General features: G+C 46.3%; 1 protein-coding gene across 15 annotated transcripts in view, besides 4 other annotated features; it reads left to right on the forward strand.

Annotated features, from left to right (window-relative positions):
- Positions 1-27,022, forward strand: part of TCF7L2 (transcription factor 7 like 2) — a 217,432-nt gene that overhangs the window by 55,787 nt on the left and 134,623 nt on the right. The window lies entirely within an intron of this gene.
- Positions 298-1,018: an enhancer, noted in NCBI's record as "H3K4me1 hESC enhancer chr10:114766090-114766810 (GRCh37/hg19 assembly coordinates)". NCBI's record gives its function as "activates a minimal SCP1, AML or CMV promoter by ChIP-STARR-seq in naive H9 embryonic stem cells {active_cell/tissue: H9 hESC(naive)}" and the evidence as "EXISTENCE:reporter gene assay evidence [ECO:0000049][PMID:30033119]".
- Positions 1,019-1,739: an enhancer, noted in NCBI's record as "NANOG-H3K4me1 hESC enhancer chr10:114766811-114767531 (GRCh37/hg19 assembly coordinates)". NCBI's record gives its function as "activates a minimal SCP1, AML or CMV promoter by ChIP-STARR-seq in naive H9 embryonic stem cells {active_cell/tissue: H9 hESC(naive)}" and the evidence as "EXISTENCE:reporter gene assay evidence [ECO:0000049][PMID:30033119]".
- Positions 1,237-1,531: a silencer, noted in NCBI's record as "tiled region #2632; K562 Repressive non-DNase unmatched - State 24:Quies". NCBI's record gives its function as "represses a minimal TATA promoter and a strong SV40 promoter by Sharpr-MPRA in K562 cells {active_cell/tissue: K562}" and the evidence as "EXISTENCE:reporter gene assay evidence [ECO:0000049][PMID:27701403]".
- Positions 14,233-14,770: an enhancer, noted in NCBI's record as "NANOG-H3K4me1 hESC enhancer chr10:114780025-114780562 (GRCh37/hg19 assembly coordinates)". NCBI's record gives its function as "activates a minimal SCP1, AML or CMV promoter by ChIP-STARR-seq in primed H9 embryonic stem cells {active_cell/tissue: H9 hESC(primed)}" and the evidence as "EXISTENCE:reporter gene assay evidence [ECO:0000049][PMID:30033119]".

Raw genomic sequence — 27,022 nt, forward strand, 5'->3', positions numbered from 1 at the left:
TCTGTTGGTCTCCTAGAGGAAGAACTTGTTAGATTTGGGGAGAGTCAGGATAAATTTGACCCTAAGAGTCTCTGATTCCTTTTAGAGACTTTTCTTATAAGAAATAAAATGGAACTTGGGAGAGGCGGCAACTTGGGAAACAGCACATTCTGCCGTAATGAAAGTCGTCCCATAAGAATTTCTCTATCCCTTTAGCCAAATTTCTGTTTCTAAAAGGGGAAAAGGGGCTAGAGATAGGCTTGTTTGTTTTCTTAGTTGAATCTTACTTTTTGTATTTCCAGCCCATTCTGCAGGGTAAGAACAAGCACAGCCCGAGGGCTCACTCAGTGTGATGTTCTAGAGCCTGGCTCTGCCTCAATCCCTCACGCTGGAGGATCAGGCAGCAGGGGCCAGTGATGGATTTTTTTTTCTTCCTTTCCTCCCCTATTAATATTTACTGAGGTATAAATTACAGCAAAGTGCGCAGACCTAGGTATCTAGGACTGTGAGGTTTTCCTGTGTTACCTGTGTAACCACGACCCAGATCAAGATAAGGAACTTTTCTGGCATCTCAGAGGCTCTTCCTGCTCCCTTTCAGACTCCGTCTCCCAGAAGGAACTACTTCTGATTCCTATAGCCATAGACTGAATTTTCTTTTCCAACTTCATATGCATAGGATCATCATGGGTGTTTTAATTTTAATTTCATGTCTGCTTGCCACTCCCAAATGGAAATGTGTTGGCATCTCTGGATGTTTCTTCATAAGAAACATGCCCTGTGGGGCAAAGCCCAGGACAGGGCTGTGCTGCTGCTGGAAGTCCTGTGCAGCTGGCCAGCCTCTGCTCACCCCTCCGGCCACGCTGGCACTTTCAGCTTCTCCAGCCTCCTGCCCTTCCCACTTCCAGTCCTGCACCTGCTGTCCTCACTGATGCACCTGCCCTTTTCCTTCCGTCCTTTATGTGGCACACCCTTAAGGGAGACATCTTCCTGTCTGTGTTTTGCACCCTCTTAAAACTACATTCCTTTCCCTTCAGCATTGGCATCTCTGTCCTTGTGTATTACCTGGGATGACTATTCAGTTAACAAATGCTTTCTTCCTAGGCTGTGAGCCCAAGTTTGTTGGATGATTGGATGGGGGCACGTTGTGTGAGAGAAGGATCATGGGGTAGCATCTGGCTCTCTTAGAGGTGTGTGGGGGCGTGTGATGCCTGCCAAGGCGCTTTCGTTCTGGGGGGTTCTGTGTGTTTGAAGCACTTGGGTTGTGTGTCCCTGAGGCCTCCGTCACGGGCAACCTCATTCCTTCTCTAGCCTCCATCCCCTGCCCCCTGCCCACCCCAGGCCTCTGGAGCTGGCTCCCTTTCCTGCTCACTCTCTTTTGGCCAGGATTTTAACATATATCACAGGCTGGTAGGCTAAGAGCTTGGGACTTCCCCTCACCACACTCAAAGCCTTTGATCTTTTGCTTTGGAGGTAACATCAAAAGGAAGGCTGAGGAAGACAGCCAGGCTGTGAAGTTCAACGTTCAAGTTAATAGCTTGACTGAAGGTTGTGCTGCGTTGTGGCAGCATCACCGAGGCTGGAGTAAACAGAGTGATTCTGCCACATTTTCCTGGAAATGCACCCCAATATTGGAAGAGGGCTTCTTTTACATTCGGAATGAATTCAGGCTGTAGTCAGAGCTGCTTTTCCCTTTCCCCATTTTCCTTGGAAGTGTGAAAACTTGGGGGAGAAGATGTTTGTAGGAGGGCATGATGAGGGGTAGAGGAAGCCCAAAGAGAGGATCTGGGGAGGGGAAGCCCCATGGGATGAGACTCTGAAGTTATCCTTGCCCCGATTCCGGGACTTGCTATCTGCCTGCCTTTTGGCGTGGTGTCTCTGTGCCCCTGACTGTTCCTGATTTAGCGAGGTGTTTCTGAATTCTGATGGAATTCAAAGAAGCCTGGGCAGGCAGGCAGCTTGACTTGGGGCTTGGGGAAGCGTGCAGCCCAGACATAGCAGCGATGAGAGGGCCTCAGGGCTGAGGGCTGAGATGAGAATTTCATCACATGCAAAAGTGAAAGCGACCCATCGTCTTCTCCACTTGATCTCTTGCTGAGCTTTGCAGACACTTTGGTTGTTGTTTAATTTAACATTTTCTGCAATGCTCCTTTTTTCAGATTTTCATCCAAAGCTCTGTATGAGAGGTTTTCAAACCCATTTTGGCCCTGATTCTATTTGGCATACGATTCAACTCTGGGGATGGTCATCTTCCCCACACCTGCGTTGGGTACCTTTTTGGTGTATGCTCAGAGCATCCTTGGACATCTTCCTGGTCAGTGTCCAGCATCGTGAAGCTGCCCTTTAGCCTCTCAGTGCCCCCAGATACACCTGTCTCTCTGCGTAGCGGCACTCAGCGTCACCTTTCTGTGGGGTCTTGAGACCCTGATGATATCAGCACTATGCTGCCAGAATTCCCCTTGGATTCTTTAGTGTGGCTTCTCAAGCATCCCTTATCGCTATAACGCCTTCATGGTTTTTGGCATAACTGTATACTACCTGTGCTATTATTTATTTGATGCATTCAAACATTTGATTCATTTATTTAAACTCAGTCTCACTGTAATCCTTAATTAACACCTGTGAAATTATAGGTTTGATGTGCTACTTATTTATTTATTTTTTAATACACATTAGTATAATCCCGTAACGGCTAAAGTAACACTTTGTACTGCCTAAAACCATGCTTGGGAGCGCCACAGTTTGAGAAAGTGCTTAGCCTTCCTTTCCCTCCTTTAGTGACTTGTGGTTTGGGGCATCTGTTGACTCCTAGGGCTCCCTTGTTCATCTTTCTGTTCCTAAGCTCAGGGATTAGTTGCTCAACCCAGGTGTGGCCTCAAAATTCTGCTCATGGAATAGCCTCAGGCTTCTATAAATCTCATCTTTTTTGTTTTGTTTTGTTTTTGTTTTTGAGACTGAGTCTTGCTCTGTTGCCCAGGCTGGAGCACAGTGGCGCAATCCACTGTAACCATTGCGTTCTGGGTTCAAGCGATCCTCCCATCTCAGACTCCCAAGTAGCTGGGACTGTAGGCTGGTACCACCAGGCCCGACTAATTTTTAAATTTTTTGAAGAGATGGGGTCTCACTATATTGCCCATGCCGGAAGTCTAGTTTTATAGTGATGAGAATTCATCTGGGGTCCAAGGGGCCCTCCTGTGTTGCTTCCTGTGCTCCCCTCTAAATAAAGATACTCCTTCCAAGTTGTCCTGATTTTCAGGTCATCACCATTTTTTGAGCTGGATGGGGAAGTTGGCCTGGAGCAGCCTTCCCTGTCTCCGAGTTGCATTACCTCCTGAGAGGTCTCAGCAAATCACTGCCATCTCTTGATCAGAGTTGCTGGCAAGAGTCCTCTGTGGTTCTAGGTTTTCAGCCCTGGAGACTCTCGCCTGCATTCATTATACATGTCCTTTTGGTGCCTTGTTGAAAGGCATCTCCTGCCACCGAAGGGTGTGGGCTTCTGGAAATTCTCAGAAAACACAATATGCCAGCCTCCAGGGATGGGTCTCCAAAGCTTCAGGAACATATCCTGGGGTGTTGAGGAAACACCCACCTTAAAATGTTCCTCAAGGGGGAATGTTACTGCTTGCCCTAACCCTCTTGAGCTGATGCTCACATGACGTCCCTGAGATGGGCTTCTTTTTTGCCCGTACTTAAAGCTGTAAAGGGCCATTGTCAAATTTGTTTAGCTTCTCAATTCATGTTCCTTAGAGGATGGTAAATTAAAGTTAGCATTCCTGGACAGAGCCTTTCATACATTGAAGACAACCCGGTGAGTCTCAAGGGGAGAGGTAAGGGAGAGATGAAAGGTTTTCTCCAGGCCTGTTCGGCAGCATGGACTGTTCTTTTAGGTAATTAAGGGAGACCATAAAAGACAATTGTGTGAGTCCATTTACCTTTCACTTGGGGGTCTTAAGTCTTTGGTTGGGCTTCTTTAACCCTGTGTGTCACCCACGGGCTCCTATGGGTGCTGTTTTCATTGTTCCGTTATCTAGTTGGCTGGAACACACCTTTGGGGATTGGAGAATGGAGTTCTGGGGGCTTTGGGAACTTTGAGTTTTCCTGCAATGTCCTATAGAAGCTTGAGTCTGTGATTCCTGGGCAGGGCCTTCTCCTAGTTGAGTGAGATTGGTGGGGCAGGGCAGCCAGTTAGGGGGTCATGGGAGCAGGTGTGGAAAAGGTTATATGTCTTAGTAATTCTTTGTGACAATCACCCTCATTCATTGATATCTTCTTCCTATCATGTATTAGGGCAGTGGTTCCCCCAATGTGCTGCACATTAGGTTCACCTGGAGAGCTTTTATAAAAATGCCAATGCCCGGGGCCCACTTTGGGAGGAGCCAGGCATCAGTAATTTCAAAGGTCTCTAAATGATTTACAGTTTGGGAATCACCGTATGAGGATAGTAAGCTCTGAGTCCTATGCGTTCTGTGCCGAACACCCATGAAGCAGTCTTCCAAGCATTTTACCTGCATCATCTCAATTCTCACACTGTTAAGGAGATAGACAGTATCATCTCCATTTTGTAGACAAGACAACTGAATCTCAGAGAGGTTTAAGTCTCAGGACACCAAGGTCATTATTAATCAGGGGGACTGTGATTGCTCCCTTTATAAAATGTAGGAGATATTGTGGAGTACGGTTGAGAAACCATTGCAATAGTTTTCTTACTTTGTTAAGAAATTAGGCTGGGCGTGGTGGCTCAGGCCTATAATCCCAGCACATTGGGAATCCGAGGTGGACAGATCTCTTGAGCTCGGGAGTTCCAGACCAGCTTGGGCAACAGGGTGAAACCCCATCTCGACTAAAAATACAAAAATATTAGCCGGGCCTGGTGGTGTGCACCTGTAGTCTCAGCTACTTGAGAGGCTGAGGTGGGAGGATCACCTGAGTCCGGCTGCAGTGAGCTGGCATTGTGCCACTGTACTCCAGCCTGGGCAATGAGAGTGAGATCCTGTCTCAAAAAAAAGAAAAAAAAGGAAATTAGTGGTGGAAGGTGACTTTGCATCTGGGCGTATCTGCCTGCAGAGTTGGTGTCCTTACCTTGAAGAAACCCTGCTTTAGTTGGAGTATCCTTAATGGTTAGTGGCAGGAGGGGAGGAGTGGTTCCTGGGAGACTGGAACAAAATATGGTACCTGAATGCTTAAGGCTTGGCAGATGAGCAGTCATTTTCTTACACAGAGCTTAGGAAAGGGCATCCAGGTAGAGGAATCAGCATGAACAAAAGCACAGGGCCATAGAGTTCTCAGAAGGAAAGATGGGGTTAACCGGAGCCAAGCCAGAGATCTGGTGGTAGTGGGGGGTTTCCAAGCTAGAATGGTTGTGTGGTATTCTGTCCTCAGGGGCTTTGAACTCTGTGTGCTAATGAGGCCTCAAATTCTCTGGGGCTCTGGTTAAAATGTAGATTCTGATATCAGTTGGCTTGGGTGGGGCCTTGCATTTCTGTAAGCCCTTAGCAGTTGCACTGCTGCTACTACCGTGAGTATTGCTGTTGAGCATTACTACCTTGAGTATTGCTGTCAAGTGTTACTACCTTGAGTATTGCTGTTGAGTATTACTGTCGAATTTTACTACCTTGAGTGTTGCTGTTGAGTATTACTACCTTGAGTGTTGCTGTTGAATATTACTACTTTGAGTATTACTGTTGAGCATAACCACTTTGAGTATTGCTCTTGAGTATTACCACCTTGAGTATTGCTTTTGAGTGCTACTGCCTTGAGTATCGCTGTTGAGTATTGCTACCTTGAATATTACTGTTGAGTATTACCACCTTGAGTATTGCTCTTGAGTATTACCACCTTGAGTTTTGTTCTTGAGTATTGCTACCTTGAGTATTGCTGTTGAGCATTACTACCTTGAGTATTGCTGTTGAGCATTACTACCTTGAGTATTGCTGTTGAGCATTACTACCTCAAGGATTGCTCTTGAGCTTTACCGCCTCAAGTATTGCTCTTGAGCGTTACTGCCTCGAGTATTGCCGTTGAGTATTACTCCCTTGAGTATTGCCATTGAGTTTAGTCCTGTGAGTATTGCTGCTACTGCGCCTTGGCAATGGTTTTCAAACTTTGCAACACATCAGAATCACTTGGGAAACCTTTAAAATTCTAACGCCCAGGTCACATCCCATTCCAACTAGATCAGAACATCTGGGGAATGCGAGCCATGCACCAGTAGTTATAAAACCTGCCCAGGTGATTCCAAAGTGTGGGAACCTTTGAGAAGCACTGCTTTAGGGGTTGGAATAGTCCTGGCTGAATTTTAATCAGGGAAGACTGACTGCTCCGTTTATGAAACGTAGGAGAGTGGAGCAGGGTTGAGAAACCATCGGGATAGTGTTCTTACTTTGTTACGTGAGCAATATTTGTTGAGTCTCTGTGGTGGGTTCTAGGGGTTCAGAGGACAGCAGTGTGCTGCTAGGATGGTGGTCTGAACTAGTGGAAAGGCACTCAAAGGAAGAAAGACAGAATTCTAAGAGGAGAGGAATTTTAGGAAGGAGATACCCAGGACTTTTGAATTACAGGTAATTTGATCAGAACCCAAAACTGAAATGTCTCTGCTCTGTGATGAAAGGGTTTGCTGGCATTGAGTAAGGAGCTGCAGGAAGGCCTTTAACTTGTCTCCAGGTCTCTTAACAGCTTTGTCATTTACATACAAGCACCTGCCTGGCTAAACCATTCATTTCTGTAGCTTCCTTCTGGATCTGTCTAGGGAATATTTGCTTTGCATATTTTGGGGTTATCTTAAGTGTTTGAAGGAACCAAAATATTTTTCTTAAAAATAACACTCAAATGTAGTTCACATGATTAATTTTGACTGATTTGTGAGAATCAGTAAGTGCTGACTGACTGAGGCGCCCCACACATCCGGCTTCCTTCTGTTACTCTACGCGTGTTGCTGAAACTTAACGAACCCATGTGGGGTCTTCTCGCCTGGTGCAGTCCGGCCCAGTATTCATACTGAGGTTTGCAGTGGGAGAAAGGAAGGTATTTATTTGTAGGTCACCAAGCAGGGCAAATCCAGCAGCTCACGCTTAAGACCTGACCTCTCCCATGGTTTATAAGCAAGTGGTTTTTTTTTTTTTTTTTTTTTTCAGACTGAGTCTTGCTCTGTCACCCAGGCTGGAGTGCAGTGGCGTGATCTCAGCTCACTGCAACCTCCGCCTCCCAGGTTCAAGCGATTCTCCTGCCTCAGCCTCCTGAATAGCTGGGACTACAGGCGTGCGCCCCCACACCTGGCTAAGTTTTGTCTTTTTAGTAGAGATGGGGTTTCACCATGTTGCCCAGGCTAGTTTCCAGCTCCTGACCTCAAGTGATCCTCCTGCCTTGACCTCCCAGAGTGCTGGGATTACGGGCATGAGCCACAGTGCCTGGCCTGTAAGCAAGTGTTTTTAAAGAAAGGGGTAAATTTTAGGGAAACAGAAGTTCTAGGCAAAATGGTAAATTAATACAGGGAGGTAAGACATTGGTTTGGCCTAAAAAGATGGGATATTTTGAAGTGGGGGCTCATAGGTCATAAGTGGATTTAAAGATTTTTTTGGTTTGTAATTGGTTAAGGAAGATAAGCTTTGATTAAAGATTTGGGGTCAGCAGAAAGAAATGTTAGGTCTGGCTCGTGGGCATGTCTTTTTCTAGGCCCCTCCTTGGAAAGAACTTTAGAGCAAAGAAAGGCAGTTGGAGCTTAGTCCCCACTTTCTCCTGATCTGAGGTCTACGGACCACTGGATCCATTTGGTGGGGTCCATCTTTCTGAAAAACAAGTCAGGGACATGTATTGAGATGATATTATTGGTATTTATAGGGAACCAAACAACGCCCCATGACTCTTTTTTGGCTATTGTTTTAAGCCACTGTTTTTTTTTGTTTATTGAGTTGTTAACTTATTTTTTAAAGCTAGCTAGCTGCCTGGAATTTCTTTAGAAGGAACTGAAGTTTTTAAAAATTTTTATGTTGGGGGGTATTGCCCTGCAGGCCCCTAAAAGGGGTCCCTGCGCTGTCTCAAAACTTGGATGCAAAAAGAAGTTGAGTTAACACAGGAGGACAGGGGTAGACGCACCAAGGGCATGTGCCTCGAGTGCGTGGTCCTTATTAAGAAGGGTGGTTAGACAGGGAATGGGTTAGTTCCCAGGTCGGCATTCAGCTGAAACAGTGATGGTTAAAATTCTGAAAAATGTCCACGCTCTGCATTCTCTTCCTAACACCCAGGACCCAGTAACTATAAAGCCCCCTACCCTGGGGCATAGCAGGGGGCTTCAGGGACCCATGAGAAGGTCATCTGCTGCTAGTTACACTCCTTCTGGGACCTGATTTAGACAGTTTGGTGGTAGTTTTGCGAGGGTTAATTTCAGGGCCAAGGATGCTTCTAGAATGGAAATACCTTCTTGACATTGGGAGCTTTATTGGTTGATTATGTCAATGTGAGAATTCAGGAAGCCCAGTGCTAATCCTCCATCCTAAAAGGAGTAGATTGGCTGGGCGTGGTGGCGCATGCCTGTAATCCCAGCACTTTGGGAGGCCGAGGGGGCGCGGATCACCTGAGGTCAGGAGTTCAAGACCAACATGGCGAAACCCCGTCTCTACTAAAAATACATAAATTAGCCAGGTGTGGTGGTGGGCGCCTGTAATGCCACCTACTCGGGAGGCTGAGGCAGGGAGAATTGCTTGATCCCAGGAGGCGGAGGCTGCAGTGAGCCAAGATTGTGCCACTGCCCTCCAGCCTGGGCGACAGAGCGAGACTTCATCTCACAAAAACAAACAAACAAACAAACAAAAACTAAAAGGAGATTTCCTCCTTCTGTCCTTTATGGGAGACTTCAACCTTGGGAAAGTCTGGAATCCTTGGACATTAGAAATTCTGAAGTTTTGGCTGGCTGTAGTGGCTCATGCCTATAATCCCAGCACGCTGGGAGGCCGAGGCAGGTGGTCACTTAGGCCAGGAGTTTGAGACCAGCCTGGCCAACATGGTGAAACCCCATCTCTACTAAAAATACAAAAATTAGCTGGGCGTGGTAGCGGACGCCTGTAAGCCCAGCTACTTGGGAGGCTGAGGCAGGAGAATCTCCAGAACCTATGAGGTGGAGGTTGCAGTGAGCTGAGATCACACCATTGCACTCCAGCCTGGGCAACAGAACAAGATTCCGTTTCAAGAAAGCAGAAACTCTGAAATTTTTGCCTGTCCAGGCCACATCAATCCCATTCCTCTGCTGTCTCTGCAGGATTCTGTGAGGAATAATTAGTTAATGTTTGCAGAGCACTTTGAAATCCTCAGATGAAAGGCACCGGAGAAGCACAAAGTATTATTATTTATTATTAGCTTGCCCCAGAATGGAGGCGCATGAGGCCCTGGCAGCTCCCTGCCTCGTGCCAGGTGTGATCCTCCTGCTGGGCTTTTCCTGCCTGATGAGCTTTTTTTTTTTTTTTTTTTTTGAGATCAGGTTCAGCTCTGTCGCCCAGGCTGGAGTGCAGTGGCATGAAAACAGTTCACTGCACACAGCTCACTGCACTGCAGCCTCAAACACCTGGGCTCAAGCAATCCCCCTGCCTCAGCCTCCCAGGTAACTGGGACTATATACTACAGGCATGCGCCACCACTCCTGGCTAATTAAAAAAAATTTTTTTTTGTAGAGATGGGGGTCTCACTATGTTGCCCAGGCTGGTCTCAAACTCCTGGGCCTCAAAGATGCCAAAGGTTCACACCTTGGCCTCTCAAAGTGCTGAGATGACAGGCGTGAGCCACTGTGCCTGTGCTCAATTGATTTTCTTTATTAAAGAAACATGGAAGAAAGTGAAGGATGAGAATCAGTAACGTAACGTGTGCTTCAGATTGTGGACAAGTGATGTGAAGGAAACACATTGGTCCCACTGTGGTGACAGAGCAGGGGTTTCCTTACCTGGCAAGGTTGCGGCTGCCATTCCTTGGGGTCTGGGGTTAAGACCATCTGCCTGAGGGTAACGCAGTAATAAATCAGTACTAAAGGGCGTACTAAAGTACTGTATTGCTAGGCTAGGCCATGCTTGGTGTATTTTTTTTTTTTTTTAATTGAGACGGAGTCTTGCTTTGTTGCCCAGGCTGGAGTGCAGTGGTGTGATCTCGGCTCACTACAACCTCTGCTGCCCAGTTTCAAGTGATTCTCCTGCCTTAGCCTCCTGAGTAGCTGGGATTACAGGCACGTGCTACCATGCTTGGCTAGTTTTAAAATATTTTTAGTAGAGATTGGGTTTTGCCGTGTTGTCCAAGCTGGTCTCAAACTCCTGACCTCAAGGGATCAGCCCACCTCGGCCTCCCGAAGTGCTGGGATTACAGGCATGAGCCTGGCTGGTGTATTTGTTTTAAATTTAAAGTTTACTAAATTTAATGATATCTGGGGAATCAGCTTGCTTCCTGGGGATCTGGATGTACTTGAGGTGAGAGGGTGGGGATTCAGAATTATCCTTTCTATCGCAGCATGTTCTGGATTGATTCATGTAGGTCTCAAGTGTGTGTAATATTTCATTTCTTTGTGCAATTTTGGCATGCCGAGGCGGGCACCCTGAAGCTCCGGCAGAGCCTGGAGACAGAGTGGGGAGCTCTCCGCTCTTTCCCTTCCTTCATCCCAGCTGACTTCGACTGGAATTGAATTCATCAGCTGCTGGAGAGTTGTTTTATTTGCCCTGCTGGTGGAGAGGGAGGAAAGGAACATCATGGGGCCAGGCTTTTTTTTTTTAAAGGAAAGATTTGATTTACTTTCCCCCTTAGTAGCATGATGGGCACCTGCACCCGCCAGCTAATCAGAAGCCACTGTCCCCTGAATGCCTCCGCTGCCCACCAGATCCTGACAGCATCCCACGCGGGAGCACTCTCGTGTGCCCCTGGCAGCTTCTGCTGCCTGGCAGTTCTCTAAACTTGCTGGTGTCTCTCTGCCCGGAGGCTCAGAAACCCAGAGGACTGACCACTTCTTGAGGCTCATGTCCAGTTTGCAAAGAGCCCCCAGCAAGCAGAGAAGGGGATTTTTGTACCAGCGATATCTCTTCTCCACTCCTCAACACACTCCTTTCCACTCTGTCTCCTATAAACATGGAACAGCCAGGAATACTCAAATCCTAGCCTGTCATGAAGCCAAAAATTGATAGAGATCTACTGTCCAGAATGATTTCTTATAGTGACCCTGTGTTTAGTTGGTAAGACTTTCTTAAACCATGAGGGATTCTGGTCCCACAGGGCAGTAATATCTGGGGCAGAGCCTGAGACTTTTCTCATTGATTTCCTCTGTGAGCCAGGAGTGACTGCTCTGATGCAGGGTGCTGTGTGGTTGGTAGAAGCTGGCGTTATCCCATTTTACCCACGAGGAAACAAATGACCAGTGGTGGAGCGGGAGCTCAGCATCCCATGTGCCCACTTCCTCCTCGGGTGGACTTTTCACCTGCCCATGCCGTCTTCTTTGCAAACTTTACTGCAGTGACGGAGACATCTTTAAATACAAATTCTTGGGGGAACCCTGTGTTCCTTGGCTGGAGCCTGGCTGGGAAGGAGGAGGGAGCAGAGGGCTCTCTTGGGTGTGGCCTATTGCAGTTGAGCCAGGGAAAGGCTGGTCCACTGGAGACACCCTCTCTGGTCACCGCAGACTTCCTGCCCTCCATCCAGTGTCCTTCTACTTGCAGGATGTGTGCCCAGCAGAGAGAATCTCTGAAGCCATGTCATTATTGGGATAACATTCCTGTCCCAGTCACCTTATTTCTCAGAAAAAGGACAATGGGAAACAAGTTTTTATTGAATCCTATGCTGGGCCTATTAATGGGGTCTCTTACTTTTCATAGCAGCACTGCAAACAGAGTTACGTTTCTATTCATTTTATGGATTAGAAAGCTGAGATCCAGAGCGGGCAGATGTAAACCTGGGGTCTTTAAAATGCATCCTTTTTGCAAACAAATAAACTTAGTGTATTAAAAGGGCTGGAGAGAGCAGAGTAAGGTAACATTTGGGTGGTCAGCATGTAGTTCTGGGTCCCCACAGTGGAGATGGCACAGTGCTGGGTGCTGGGGGAACTATGGTCACTAAGAGACACTGAATAATTTAATGCATGCCCCTGATTCCATCACTGACTGTTGAGGTAACACATACATTTATATTGTCAGTGGTGGTGATGATTACATGAGCTGCGTAAAGCGTTTGACCAGTGCCTGCACATAACATAGTAGGTGCTCAATAAAGATCACCCACTCTTAAGAGGTGGGAGGAGGTGAAGTCATCTTTCTGGGGAGTGTTGCCCTGTTGTTCTCTGCTGCATTCTTTCTGTCCTTTGGGCTCCGAGAATGCTGGGTTGGGCAGTGTGAGTGGTCTTCTCAGGCCTCTGTGACATGTTGCTTTCATGAAAGGTTCCCCTCTAGCCAAAGACTGAGTGGTCCTTGCAGGCTTTCTCCTGAGTCCTTTTTTTTTTTTTTTTTTTTTTTTTAAAGACAGAGACTCTGTTGCCAGATTGGAGTGCAGTGACGCGGTCTCGGCTCACTGCAACCGCTGCCTCCCAGGTTCAAGCAATCTACAAAATGCATCTATAAAATGATGCATCAGCCTCCTGAGTATTTGGGATCACAGGTGCCCACTACCATGCCTGGGTATTTTTTTGTATTTTTAGTAGAGACAGGGTTTCACCCTGTTGACCAGTTTGGTCTCAAACTCCTGACCTCGAGTGATCCGCCTGTCTTGACCTCCCAAAGTGCTGGGATTACAGGCGTGAGCCACTGCACCTGGCCTCTCTCCTGAGTCCTTTTGTTTGTGCCTGCTTTGGGGATTCCCTCTGGCTGGGGTGGACTGCCGGGATCTGTTTGTCCAGTGTACATTTCCTGGTCACCTAGCACCGGCCAGCTGCGGTGCTGGGAGGAACAGGGCCTGGCTCTGGGAGGCAGCTGGGAGAGTCAGGAAGTGAAGAAAGTTCTTGTGGGTGTGATGGTGGAAACCCAAGCAGCGTCCAGAGGGAGCACAAGAGGGAGGGACAAATCTTGGGAGGGTCCCGGGCCAATGGGACCCAGTGTAAGAAATTGCACCTGTCCTGGCAGATAGAGAAGGTGGAAGCAGTGAATGGTAGAGCATCCTCACTCTTCTCTCTGCCAGCAAGCACCTTTGGGGAAGTCCTCACGGACAGGAATGTCGTGTGTCTTGGCTTGAGATGTCAAAGAAACATGTTGGACACACCATGGTGACAGAGCAGGAGTCTCTTAACCCCGGCGTGGTTGAGGCTGCCGTTCTGGTGGGATCTGGGGTCAGTCAGGGGTTAACAGTCGCTCCTGCTTGCCTGATTGACACAGTAATAAAGGCAGTGACACCAAACTAGGTCTCAGGAATGTGTCCTCGTTAGAAAGACTCACTAATGGTTGTGGGGGGGTGGCCCATGAGTCCTTCTGGGTGGTGGCGAGAAGTAGGGGACCCTTTGGGCTTTGCCCTTTTTGGTCATAGGACTTCACTCCACAGACATAATTGAACCGTTGGGTTTCTGCAGCCAAATTCAAATGTCACCAATCTTGGTCACCCCTTTCATCTCTTGGGTCCTCTGTAAGTTATAGCTATCTGATAGTTTACTGAAAAATAAACTGAAAATATGTTTTAAATTGTACTTTCGATTTAAAATAATGTTTAGAGACAAAAAAAAAGGGTCCAATCCACTTGGAGAAAAGCATTGTCAAAGGTGGTTGATTTTTTTCTTTTGCTGTTTTAAAGTGGTAAGTGGATGAGTGTTTTGGATATATTGATTTTTCAGGTGTGCAGGCGGTCACATGAACAGCTGACATTTTTTTTTTTTTCATGTGGACTTCAGCCAGTCTTGACACCTGCCCCTTAACGAAAAGTAAACCATCGCCTTGTTTGACAGTTTAAGTGCAGTGATACGGATGGAGGCAGGTTTACGTTATGTTAAAGGCTTGACAACCCAGAACCCCCCTGTTGGTTTCTTTGTTGTAACCTTTGAGCCGGTGGCCTGCTGAAATGTCACCTTTGCCCTTCTTTAAAAGCAGGAATAATAGGTGGTGAGTGGGTGGATGCCTCTTAAAATACTGGAAAGTGCTGTGGCCCGAGGGTAAGCTTTTTAGAAGTGAGTGTGTGTGTTGTGTTGTTTTAATTAATGAATCTTCTGGGCCTGAAGATAATGAGGTCAGTGAGGGCAGCCATGCTGCCTCACAGCTCACCTTAGGGTCCTTGTTGTCCAGAACGTGCCTGACCTACTGGAGGGGCCTGGGAATGCTTCTTTGATTGACGTGGGTAGGAAGACAGATGTGGCGGCCTCCATGCTGATGGGAGGCAGCTGGGAAGAAGGTCATGGGCACCATCTCAGGAGTGGCAGAGCCACCTCCCCCTCTCCTCACCCCGTGTGTCTGGATTCTTCCAGCTGTGTGGTCCTTCTTCCTGCCTGGAAATGAGCATCCTGCAGAGCTCGGCTCCTGTTCACACCCTCCTCCTAACCCCCTACTCTCCCTCTCCCTTTCATCCAGGGCTGGAGGACCAGATGGGCTTTACCTGATGGAGTGTGCTTTGCTGACATGGTGCAAAGAGCCAATTCCTGGTTGCAAAGAGGCAGCTGGGTGCAGAGGCGGGGTGCATTCCTGTAATAATAATAACTTGTGTTTTTATAATACTTTACAGTCTAAGTACTTTTCAAATACTTGACCTCATTTAGTTCTCACCACAGCCCTCTGAAGGGATATTACTATTACCTTCATTTTATAGATGCGTTAACCAGGGCTTGTTTTGGGAGGTAGAGGGGGTGTGAGGGGGACAGAGGGGAGGGAACCAGTGTTGAATGAATTCTGAGGCCCTGCCAAAGCAGCCAGCTAGCTAGGTGTTGTTTAATGGACTCTTTGCATCTACAGAATGAGGGAGGTGGGATGAGGGGAAATTATTTCACAATAACTGAAGGTCGGAGAGACTAACTCTCTGCTCATTGTCACACAGCAGTTGAGTGCCAGCTGGGATTTGTCACCCAGGTCACCTGACTCCTAAGCCCTGTGATCGTTCTCTTCTGTCTCTAGTATACCCAGCATAATGCCCGGCAAAGTGCTGGCATCAATAAATATTTGTCGAATGTTAAATGAGGCTTAAAGAGAACCATTCATGCTTGGCACAGGGGCACAGTGAGACAAACATGTTTCCTGCCCTCGTAACCTTCGCTTCCAAATTCTGTGACCTTGGGCGGGTTGCCTGAGCTCTTTTCCAGCTCAGTTTCCTGAAAACTCATCCGGAAAATGGGTAAAATATCAGAGTGCATTCTGTATGGTAAGACTGCAAATGTTAGATGATTCTGCTACTTATTATTGTTTTCTTTTTCTCACCACACACCTTCCCTTTTTATGTACACCTCCTAGGAAGTAAGTTTCTGATAACATACTGCATTGTTGGATAACAGCAACAAAAAGCACTTCCTGACATTATTGCCCAAATCACCAAATGAGGCAATTACCAACTTTGGAATAAGAATAGCAACGGTGGTAAGAGCTGACATTTCTTGAGCGCTTGCCATATGCTGGGTGTACTACTATAAGCTGCTGCCTGCAATTATGATTTGGGAACAACTCTGAAAGTAGTTACCTCCCATTTTATAGAAGAGTAAACTGAGGTTCAGAGAGGTTAAGTAACCCCCCCAGGGTCTCTCAGGAAGTAGTTGGTGGCCTGGGATTCAAACACCAGAATTGGTCTGACTTCCCACTCTTTAAACCACACTCAAAACTGAACTCTCCACGTGTGTGTGTTCTGGGCATTTTCGCATCTCCCTTGGCTTGTTGACAGCGTGGACTTTTGCTTTCCCATTCTCATAGAACATGGCCAGTGCAGGAGGAGGAAATCCACACTGGTCTTTGGACTGAACCAGAGGCTGGCGATGGTCCCGAAACAGGGTGCCAAGTGGCTGACCCTTGTTTTTATGCCTTGCGCTGGTAAGCTTGGGGCACCAGGAGTTCTTTGAATTTCTCTTTCTTGACTGTCCACGCCTTCTTTAGGCAATCTTTTAACAGGCTATGTTTTAAATCTTATTGACATCTCTGAAGAAAGAGGAGGAAAAAAAAATCAAGACATGGCCTTAGAGAAGTGACAGGTTTTCTTTGAGATTTTGTTTTCTGTTTTCCTTTTTATTTTGTGCACATTGCAAAACCTCTTTGGGATGATGATTTCGTGTGGTTTCTTGGTAGCCCTTGGGCAGCTGCTGCCAGGTTTCACCCAAATGCATTGTGACCCCCTGTTTCGTGGGACGGCTTTGCCTCCACATGGCTGATTGTGCTCTGTGTGTCCGCTGTGGGCAGAGTGTGATTGTAAGAATCAGAATTCTGCTGGGCTTGCAAGCATTTAAAAAATCTCTATAAGTTTGAGAACTGGTTGGAAGGGAGAGATGCAGCGACTTAGAACACCCGGCCTGCAGCTGAGCTTCCGTGTGCCTGGGAGGAGCCCATATGGAGAAACAGGAAAATTCCACTTCACCAGAAAGCTGGGGAAATGAGTGGGAGTAGGGGCCAGGCTGGTTAACTAGGAAGACTTTTGGTCACTCTGCTTTACTTAGCCTAAAGTGTTCATTTCCCCCTTAAGCGGTGGTTAATACGCGTATCTGCAGATTTACTTTTTGGATGATTTAAAATCTTGCAACATCTCAAGGGATTGTATCCTGATGATACTGATTATATTAATAACAAGATAATAGCTTATAATATAATAGCTAGCAATTACCAAGCACTTACCTTACACCAGGTACAATGCCAGGCATTTGATCCTTACACGAACTCTGAGAGATGGCTGTTTGTATTCCCATTTTACAGATGAGGGAAGCTGTGCTGAGAGAGGTGAGTTCATTTGCCCAAGCTCACCCACTTTGAGATGGTCTGCTTTTATATCCTCTTAGCCCAATTCTTTTGGATGTCAGCACTTGGCATGTATTAGGCACTGGATAAGTGTTTTGTTGAATGAACAAAATGATGGAACTTGGATTTGAACCCAGGTCTGAGCTGGCTTTGAGTCTTCAGAATAGTAGGTCCAATTAGTGGAGTGGGGGCTCAGTAGTCCAAAGGGAAAGGAGCAAGGAGACATTGTGGGGGCCGAGAAGAGGGCTTCTGGGGTGTTTCCTGGGCACATTGGCATTAAAGGCATAGTGTGAAGTGCCATTCAAGACCATGTGCTGGATTAGTGTTTTTCCTCTCCACTTGAGGTGCTTGCGATTGGCTTTGTGCCCCGGTGTCTGCAAAGTGAGTTGGGCTGAACTCAGGAAGACCTTTTGGTTGGGATGACTGTGTATTCACCTGCACCTGAGTAGGGACTGAGTTTCACTTGCCAGTTTTACCGCAGCAAGACCTCGTTAAGTTGGCTTCCTCTCATTTAGGCATTTGGGAAACTTTAGGCGGCTGGAGTTTAATTCTCAAGGCAAAGCCCCTTTTCAAGGGACATGAAGAAAGGCAGAGGGATATATTTAAAATACCTGAATGAACTGTTTCTTTTTCTTTTTATTTTTTGAGATGGAGTCTCCCTCTGTCACCCAAGCTGGAGTGCAGTGGCACGATCTCAGCTCACTGCAACCTTCACCTCCCAGGTTCAAGCGATTCTCCTGCCTCAGCCTCCCCAGTAGCTGGGACTGCAGGTGTGCACCACCACACCCAGCTAATTTTTCTATTGTTTTATTTTATTTTATTTATTTTTTAATTTTTTTTTTGAGACGGAGTCTCGCTCTGTTGCCCAGGCTGGAGTGCAATGGCGTGATCTCGGCTCACTGCAAGCTCCACCTCCCGGGTTCATGCCATTCTCCTGAATCAGCCTCCCAAGTAGCTGGGACTACAGGCACCTGCCACCACACCCGGCTCATTTTTTGTATTTTTAGTAGAGATGGGGTTTCACCATGTTGGCCAGGTCTCTTGACCTTGTGATCCGCCCGCCTCGGCCTCCCAAAGTGCTGGGATTACAGGCGTGAGCCACTGCGACTTGCATGTAGACAGTAATGGCAGGTCACTATCAGTGGGTCTGTTAATCAGGTGTCCAACCTGGTGCTGGGCTTGGTGGCTCATGCCTGTAATCCTAGCACTCTGGGAGGCCAAGGCGAGTGGATCATCTGAGGTCAGGAGTACAAGACCAGCCTGGCCAACATAGTAAAACCCCATCTCTACTAAAAATACAAAAATTAGCTAGGCATGGTGGGATGCATCTGTAGTCCCAGCTACTCAAGAAGATGAGGCAGGAGAATGGCTTGAACCTGGGAGGCGGAGATTGCAGTGAGCCAAGATCATGCCACTGCACTCCATCCAGCCTGGACAACAAAGCGAGACTCTCACAACAAAACAAAACAAACAAACAAACAAACAAAAAGTCACTTGCTTCTTTTTTTGCTTGCTTATGGACATAAACCCTGTAAACTATCTCATACATCATGGGAGTGAGTTTGCAGTGGGTAGACTGCTATTCACAAACTCATATACATCCTATGAAGGAGTACAGGTTAAATAACCATTATCCAAAATGCTTGGGGCTGAAAGTGTTTTGGATTTTTAATTTTTTTCAGATTTTGGAATATTCGCATATACATAATGAGATATCCTGGGGATGGGACCCAAATCTGAACAGGAAATTCATTTATGTTTTATATAAACCCTTTTTTTTTTTTTTTTTTTTGAGACAGAGTTTCACGCTTGTTCCCCAGGCTGGAATGCAGTGGTGTGATCTCGGCTCACTGCAACCTCTACCTCCCAGGTCGAAACGATTCTCCTGCCTCAGCCTCCTGAGTAGCTGAGATTACAGGGGCTTCCCACCACGCACAGCTAATTTTTGTATTTTTAGTAGAGATGAGGTTTCACCCTGTTAGCCAGGCTGGTCTCGAACTCCTGACCTCAAGTGATCCACCCGCTTTGGCCTCCCAAAGTGCTGGGATTACAATGTGAGCCACTGTGCATGGCCTTATATAAACCTTAGGTAATTTTATACAATATTTTAAATAATTTTTGTGCATGAAACAGAGTTTTGACTGCATTTTGACTGTGACTCCTCACTTGAGGTCAGGTGTAGACTTTTCCACTTGTGGTGTCAAATTTCAGATTTTGAAGCTTTATATAATGAGATAGGGTCTTGCTCTGTTGCCCAGGCTGAAGTACGGTGGCACAATCACAGCTCACTGCAACCATGACCTCCTGGGCTCAAGTGATCCTCCCATCTCAGCCACCTGAGTAGCTGGGACTACAGGCATGCACTGTGACTGGATTTTTTTTTTTTTTTTTTTTTTTGAGACGGAGTCTGGAATCTCAAGTCTCGCTCTGGTGCCCAGGCTGGAGTGCAAGTGGCGCGTTCTTGGCTCACTGCAATCTCCGCCTCCTGGGTTCAAGTGATTCTCCTGTCTCAGCCTCCTGAGTAGCTGGGATTATAGGCGTGTGCCACCACTTCTGGCTAATTTTTGTAGTTTTAGTAGGGTCGGAGTTTCACTGTGTTGGCCAGGTTGGTCTTGAACTCCTGAACTGAAGTGATCTGCCCACCTTGGCCTCCCAGAGTGATGGGATTATAGGCATGAGCCACCGTGCCCAGCCTTGGCTAATTTTTTATATTTTTTGTAGAGACAGGGTTTCGCTATGTTGCCCAGGTTGGTCTTGAATTCCTGGACTCAAGCAATCTGCCCACCTTGGCCTCGCAAAGTGCTGGGATTACAGGTGTGAGTCACCGCTCCTGGCCTGAAGCATTTTGGATTTTTGGGTTAGAGTTGCACAGCCTTTACTGTTATTATCCTGATGTTATTATCCACATTTTACAGGCAAGGATCTGGAGGCGTAGAGAGGTAAAATCATTTTTTCAAAGCCCCAGAAGTACTAAGCCGCAGATTCTGAATTTGAACTCAGGCATTCTGGGTCAGAATTAGTGAGGTTTTAAGTTAATTTTTTTTTTTTTTTTAGATAGAGTCTTGCTCTGTTACCCAGGGTGGAGTGACAGTGGTGCTATCTCGGCTCACTGCAACCTCTGCCTCCCGGGTTCAAGTGATTCTCCTGCCTCAGCTTCTAGAGTAGCTGGGACTACAGACATGTGCCACCACGCCTGGCTAATTTTTGTATTTTTATTAGAGATGGTGTTTCGCCACGTTGGCCAGGCTGGTCTTGAACTCCTGACCTCAGGTGATCTAACCACCTCGGCCTCCAGAAGTGCTGGGATTACAGGCGTGAGCCACTGCGCCTGGCCTACCCCCTGTCGCCCAGGCTGGAGTGCAAGTGGCACAGTCTCGGCTCACTGCAACCTCTGCCTCCCAGGTTCAAGCGATTCTCCTGCCTCAGCCTCCTGAGTAGCTGGGATTACAGATACCCACCACCATGCCTGGCTAATTTTTTTTTTTTAAGTATTTTTAGTAGAGACAGAGTTTCAACAAGTTGGTCAGGCTCCTCTTGAACTTCTGACCTCATGATCTGCCTGCCTCGGCCTCCCAAAGTGCTGGGATTACAGGCATGAGCCACCATGCCTGGCCTAAGTTTGGTTTTTAACCATGCTGCTTTTTCTAGACCCTTCTGTCAGCCAGCTCCACAATGGTGAATCAGGGAGTTAGGTCCGTCTGTAAGAGAGGGCCCAGGAGCTGGGTCAGATAGGTAAAGAGACATTCCTTAGTTCTTATCCTCTGCTACCAAGCCATTTCTTGGGATCAAGCCCTCTTTGGCCTGTGTCATTCCACCTCCATTAAGTTCAGCCTTCTTTCCTTCTTTCCACATCTTTCCACTGCTGTTGAAAACTTGAGACCTGAAATCCCATCTCCTGAATTCCTGGGAGCTCTAGAAGTGGAGATGGCCAGGTTCTGTGGTCAGAGCTGGTTGGGATTACAAATAAACCAAAGCCTGGGAAACTTTCTTGCTATTAATAGCGCAGACCTTTTGGGGAGGGAATACCCAAACTCGATGCTGTTGGAATTGATTTTGCCTGTCTAGATGACATACTAATGAGCTAAGTGGTTAGCTTCGGATCATTATTGCTCTTTCCCAAGCCAAGTTCTTTTAAAGACTAAAACCACAAAAGCAGAGAACGAGTTGGGTTAGAGAGGCATAGTGGCTGGGTCCAGAGAAGGGAGAGTGGTCAGCCCTGGCCTTAAACATGAGAAAATAAAGGTGGTCCTTGCTTTGGAATGAGTTAGTGGTGCTGACTAATTCAACTGGTTTTTCTTTTTCTTTTTGGAAGTGGAATTTGATTTGGTGTCTGGATTTTGATAGGGCCATTTATATTTCTTCAGCACTTTTTGGTTCTTGCAGAAAGTTACATTCCTAGTTCCTCAACTGCTTATTTCTTTTTGGTTTTTGAAGCAGGAATTTGATTTGGTGTCTGGGTTTTGATAGGGGTGTTTATGTTTCATCAATGTCTTTTGGTTCTTTCAGCGTTTCTCTCCTTGTCTGTCATGTGTCAGAGAGGGTGCCTGTCAACGATTCTCTCTCTCCAGGGAGAAAGTCTTTCTTAAAACAGCCCTAAGATCCTTATCTCCTCAAATCACCCACTTTGATGATAATATCCATTGTTCTCTTCTCTGCTTCTTGGCATATTCTAGTCAGTCTATGTATACAATTAAAAAAACAAAACAGCCCTCTGTGTCCAAAGTGCTTGGAATATCCCAGTGTTTCACAGGAGACTTTGGAAGTGGACAAAACTGTATTTCCTTCCCCAAATGAGGTTATTGTGCTCGAAATATCTCCTGGTAGTTTATTAAAGGAAACCGCAGGCAGGGGTAAGAGAGGCAGTTTCTACAGCCTGCAACCCTATTATCTTGCCTCTTCTTTTCGACCCTCCTTCCTCCCTCTCCTCTTCTCTCCCCCCCTCACCCTATTCAACCCAGCCCCACATGTCATGCCGTCCCCAGGAGGTAGCCCTGCAGCCCTGCTTCTCTGGGATGGTCTGTTCTTGCCACCCGTCCCATGGAACGTGAAGAAGGAATTTGGGGTGTGGACTTCCTTGAGTGACTAGGATTAGACCCGTCGGGTCTGCAGTCAGACGAGAAGCGTGTGGGCAAAGGGAACTATTGTGTGAGGCTTCTCTGGACAGAAAGCCTGCCTTCATCTTTTACTGTGCCTAATGGACAATTGAGACATTCAGCTTATGTCTGAAAGGAAAGTGGGCCGGGATGGTCTAGCAGACCTCCCAGATGAAGGCTTGTAGGAGGAGCAAATAGAGACAAGGATTACCAACAGGGGGAACAACTGGGGCAGAGTCCTGGGAGAGAATGTTTATTTCCTTGCTCTCTAGGAGGGATTTGGAAAGAGCCATAATCCTGGGTTAGGAGTAATTTGTTACAGCAAGATGATACTTGAGTGACAGGCTGCTTCTGGCTGAGGCAGCAAGACTTGCATGCAGGGGGGTCGTGGGGCCTCCAGAAGGTCAGCCTCCCGTAAATCTTCACCCTGGCTTTGGGGTTTGTTCCTCCCCAAGCAAAATTAACCAGAGGCACTGCTGACCTTTGGGCTTCCTGGGTGTAGCGTTACGAAGCATCTCCACATGTTTGTCACAGCTAGAATTTGACAATAAAAATTTGGACAGGGAGACCCTGCCAGAGCCACTGACCTCTTTCCAATGTGACAAGGGGAAAAAAAACAAAAGGAAAACGCAGCACGGGGTGCGGTTTCAGTTGAAGTTGGAGGACACGGAGCCCAGCCTGTCTCGCATTTGCTGTCTATGTAGACTCACTAAAGCAAGTTAATTCATTGCTCTTTGACCGCCAAGTCTTTCGTTGTCTTTTGTTGTTGTGGAATGGGGGAAAGAAATACAGAATGGGGAGGAGAACCTAATTAGAAAAATCAAGCCTTGAGAGCTCCCAGCCATGGAGAAAGAAAGGGATTTTTTAGAAGTTGTGATTTTAATATCTGCTGCAATCTGATGATTCATGGATTTAAAATAACCCTTCCAGGTCACCAGGACCCTGTTACTTGCTGGCTTTGTACCTCTCAAAGGTCATTTGTTGGCTTCGTCTCTTAACAATTTCCATGGTAGACCTAAAATTTCTGGCTGTGAAATCCCCTGTGTAGTGGGAAGAAGAAATAGCAAATCTTAGCTGCCTTGGACCTGATATAATTATTTGTCTTCATTTACATGGTTTATCCTTCAAGGTTGAATAAATGATGTGGGAGCTAGTCAAGGGGCTTTAGGTATGTGATTTCATGCCTACTTTTTTTTAGGTAGAGAAACTGAGGTCACAGGGTACTAGAGAATGGACTCTAAGATTCAGGTTTCTGAATTGCCTGTGGTTTTGTTGACTCAACTGCTCTTCTGTTGTTTTTTAGCCACATGCCTTGAAACAGTCCTCTTTCCCATGTTTCTTCATCAGCACCATTAACCCAAGGTATACTGTCCTCTCTTATCTTTCACAAGGTCTTGGAGTTCCCATGCCTTTGTAAGCATCCCTCCCCGAGATTCAGCACCAACCAAAATCACATTTGGAAAAATTGCTTGTTTCCCAAGAAGCTTTGGAGGATATGATTTTGTATAGAACGGGTTCACAGGTTTTCTGTTCATTCTTCTATGGTGGAGTGTGTGTGTATGTGACTCTGTCTTCTCTCCATTCCTCTTTTTTTTTTTTTTTTTTTGAGATGGAATTTCGCTTTTGTGGCCCAGGCTTGAGTGCAATGGCGTGATCTCGGCTCACTGCAACCTCCACCTCCTGGGTTCAAGCGATTCTCCTGTCTCAGCCTCGCAAGTAGCTAGGATTACAGGCATGCGCCACCACGTCCAGCTAATTTTTGTATTTTTAGTAGAGATGGAGTTTCATCACTTTGGTCAGTCTGGTCACACAAACTCCTGACCTCAGGTGATCCAACCGCCTCGGCCTCCCAAAGTGCTGGGATTACAGGTGTGAGCCACCGCGCCAAGCCTCCCCATCCCCTTTTATCTCTTAAATGAATGTGGTCACCATCAAAGATGGTGCCTGACTCTTTTTTGTTTTCAGTTCATCTTAAATTCACATATAATTCACACGTCATAAAATGTACCCATTTAAGGTGTACAGTTCAGTGGTTTTTTAGTCTATTTAGTATATTTACAAGATTGTACAAACATACCAGTATCTTAATATTTTTATCATCCCCAAAAGAAACACTGTAACCCTAGCAGCCAGTCTCTACCCGCCTTCCCCATAGCTCCTGGCAATCACTAATTTACTTCCTGTCTCTATGAATTTGCCTATTTTGGTTATTTCATATAAAAAGAATCATACACCATGAAACTTTCTTCATCTGCCTTGAAGTTAGCATATTTTCAAGGGCTACCATGTTGTGGCATGTGTCAGTACTCCATTTGTTTTTATTACTGAATAGTATTCCATTTTATGGCTGTACCGCATTTTAGTTATCCAGCTATCGGTTGAGACTTGGTGCATTCTTATCCCAGAACATACCATATTCAGCTCCCAGTGACACCCACATTCATTCCTGGGCTGCTCCTTGTCTTCCAGCTATTTTCCTGGTCTCCTGTTGCCTCTGCCTACTTCAGCATGCTGTAGAGACATGGGTAGTAACTAAAACATTCCAATTAACTGCATTGTACTTGGCCTTTTTATAAGAAGCAGTAATTAGAAAATATGGTGGCCACAAGATTGATATTAAAGTGAAAGATTGTAAATACTTTTCTGCCTGAAGGTAGATGGCCTCTGGCCTGCCTCTTAGTGGGAGGTTCTTCCAGGAGCTTGCAAGCATCCATTATTTGTTAGTCATCAGCTTAGCGGCCAAGGAGCATTAGCCTGTCTTGCTCTGTCTGCTGAAGACTCTGAGAGACATGGGAGGGCAAGGGCTGCTCCTTTTGAATTCTTCCAATGTCTTCATGTCCTTTAACCTCCTGGCTTAGGGACTTGTGTGCTGGTGGTGGAGCTGACATTTGTTTGGAATCCACAGCCCTTTGGGTGGGACTCAATCTTGGGGTTGCCTGAAGACTTTGAGATGGCTAGGTCTGGGCCTCTTTTGGTCACTATGGAACAAGACTGTCTCAGAGGCCAGAGTCTGTCTCACCAGCTCCCTGTCTTGGGACTGCACCATTGCAGGGTCTTTGCCCTCCCCTGGAGATTTCTCTTCCTGCCTGGGCACCCATTGGCCATTCTGCCCGTAAGCTCAGTAGGGTGTAGGCAAAAGAGTTCTGGCCTGGAAGTACCAAAGTCCTGCGTTCTGGTTTCAGTCCCTCATAACTGTGTATAACTAAGTCACTTAGTTTTCTGTGCCTCACTTTCTTCTGTTTTAAGATGGATTTGGAGATTATTGGCTTTGACCACCTAAAAAGGATGTAGTGACAATCAATTTAGAGGTCTAAAAGAGCCTTTGAGGAAGTAAAATGGAATCTTCAAATGGACTACATGCTGATTATTGACACTGCCCTAGCACTGATAGTTGATGTTGACTGATGGTCAGAATTGCTTGGCAAGTTGGAAAAAAGTACGTACAGATCCTGGGCCACTACCAAGTTTCATTTAACAGATCTGGAGTGCATCAGGAAAAAAGTCCCTCTAAACAAGCCAGCAAGGTTTGGATACTGTGCAACCTTTTTTTTTTTTTTTTTTTCCTTTTGAGATGGAGTCTGGCTCTGTTGCCCAAGCTGGAGTGCAGTTGCACAATCTTGGCTCACTATAACCTCTGCCTCCCAGGTTCAAGCAATTCTCCTGCTTTAGCCTCCCGAGTAGCTGGCATAACAGGCGCCTGCCACCACACCCAGCTAATTTTTATATTTTTTGGAGAGATGGGGTCTCACCATGTTGGCCAGGCTGGTCTCGAACTACTGACCTCAAAGTGATCCGCCCACCTCTGCCTCTTAAAGTGCTGGGATTACAGGCATGAGCCACTGTGTCTGGCCCTACTTACCTTCTTTGTGTTAATTCCTGCACCATTGATTAGCTTATTGTCCCATTGACTGTGTCTTTAGATGACTTCTCTGGGCCTCAGAATATCTAGTCCATAGCTGACACAGAGCATCTGTTTAATGGTAAATGCTGCAGGAATCCATGCATTGGAGTAGAAAGAGTTTTAGATCATGTTCCTCATTTCTTGCTACAGACTTAGGCAAAGCGTGGAGAAGAGGTTGTCCAATGAAGAAATGAAGTGACATGCCAGGTCAGTGGCAGAGCTAGGCCTGGAAAATAGGTTTCCAGACTCTTCCCTTTCTACCATACTTTTCCTGGGAGTACGCACTCGTAATTTGAAGAGCGACTTTTGGGAGAGGGTGGAAGGAAGGCCTGGGCCTCAGCCTAAGGGGCCCATTGGTTGTGAGAGGAGGGTCTGGTGAAATTCCATACCGATTGTCCGTGTGTGAGCTGCTGTACCATAGCCTCCCTGCAGAACCACTAACCTGTCAAATGCAGAAATAGTTCAGGGACAGAGCTGTTAAAGGATTGGCGGGTTAAAGAAAACAGTGAATCCCAAGTTTTGTTAATTGGATTTTTTTGTTTGTTAGTTATTTGTTTTGCTTCATTGTCTTCATCACACCAGGGGCCTCCTTAAATCTGGTGGAAAAATTTCCTTGGAAAACAATTCAGTGTTTGTCCATAGACTTGGGAGGGAGAGATGCTAGATGCTGGAAAGTCTTGCTTATTACTTTGGGGACACTGAGATGTTCCCTTCACCATGTACTTTGAGACACACATCCTGGTTGAGTTCAGGCAAGGATGCCTAACAGTTGATAAGAAAACTGGGAAAGATAGAAGGGATTTGTAAGGTAAGTCAGGGTGAGTGAAAACACATCCGGTATGCTGGAGACCTAGATGCTTGACTGCCACTCGCTCCTGTCACCTCAGTCAATCTGGGTCTTGCTCTGTTGGCCTTAGTTTCCTCCTTGCTAACAGGTTAGTTCCACCTTTCTGCCCATTTATTTTGTAGGGTTATTGTGGATGTCATTCTGAACTCTAAAATACCCTCTAAATATGAAGTGATATTAGTGCTCTTTACATTGTTATGATTAAAAATATTTATGAGAAAAAGGTTAACTGTAAGGATTTCATTGAAAATCTTATAACAACCAACTGATAGAGATAGAAGATAAGGCTATTAAATTGTTCACACAGATGCCTTGATATCCTACCTTTTTCCCCCTATATTCCTTTTATGTGAGAAATGAGATAGTGATT

The sequence above is a fragment of the Homo sapiens genome, chromosome 10 (assembly GCF_000001405.40).
Source record: "Homo sapiens chromosome 10, GRCh38.p14 Primary Assembly".
Taxonomy (NCBI): domain Eukaryota; kingdom Metazoa; phylum Chordata; class Mammalia; order Primates; family Hominidae; genus Homo; species Homo sapiens.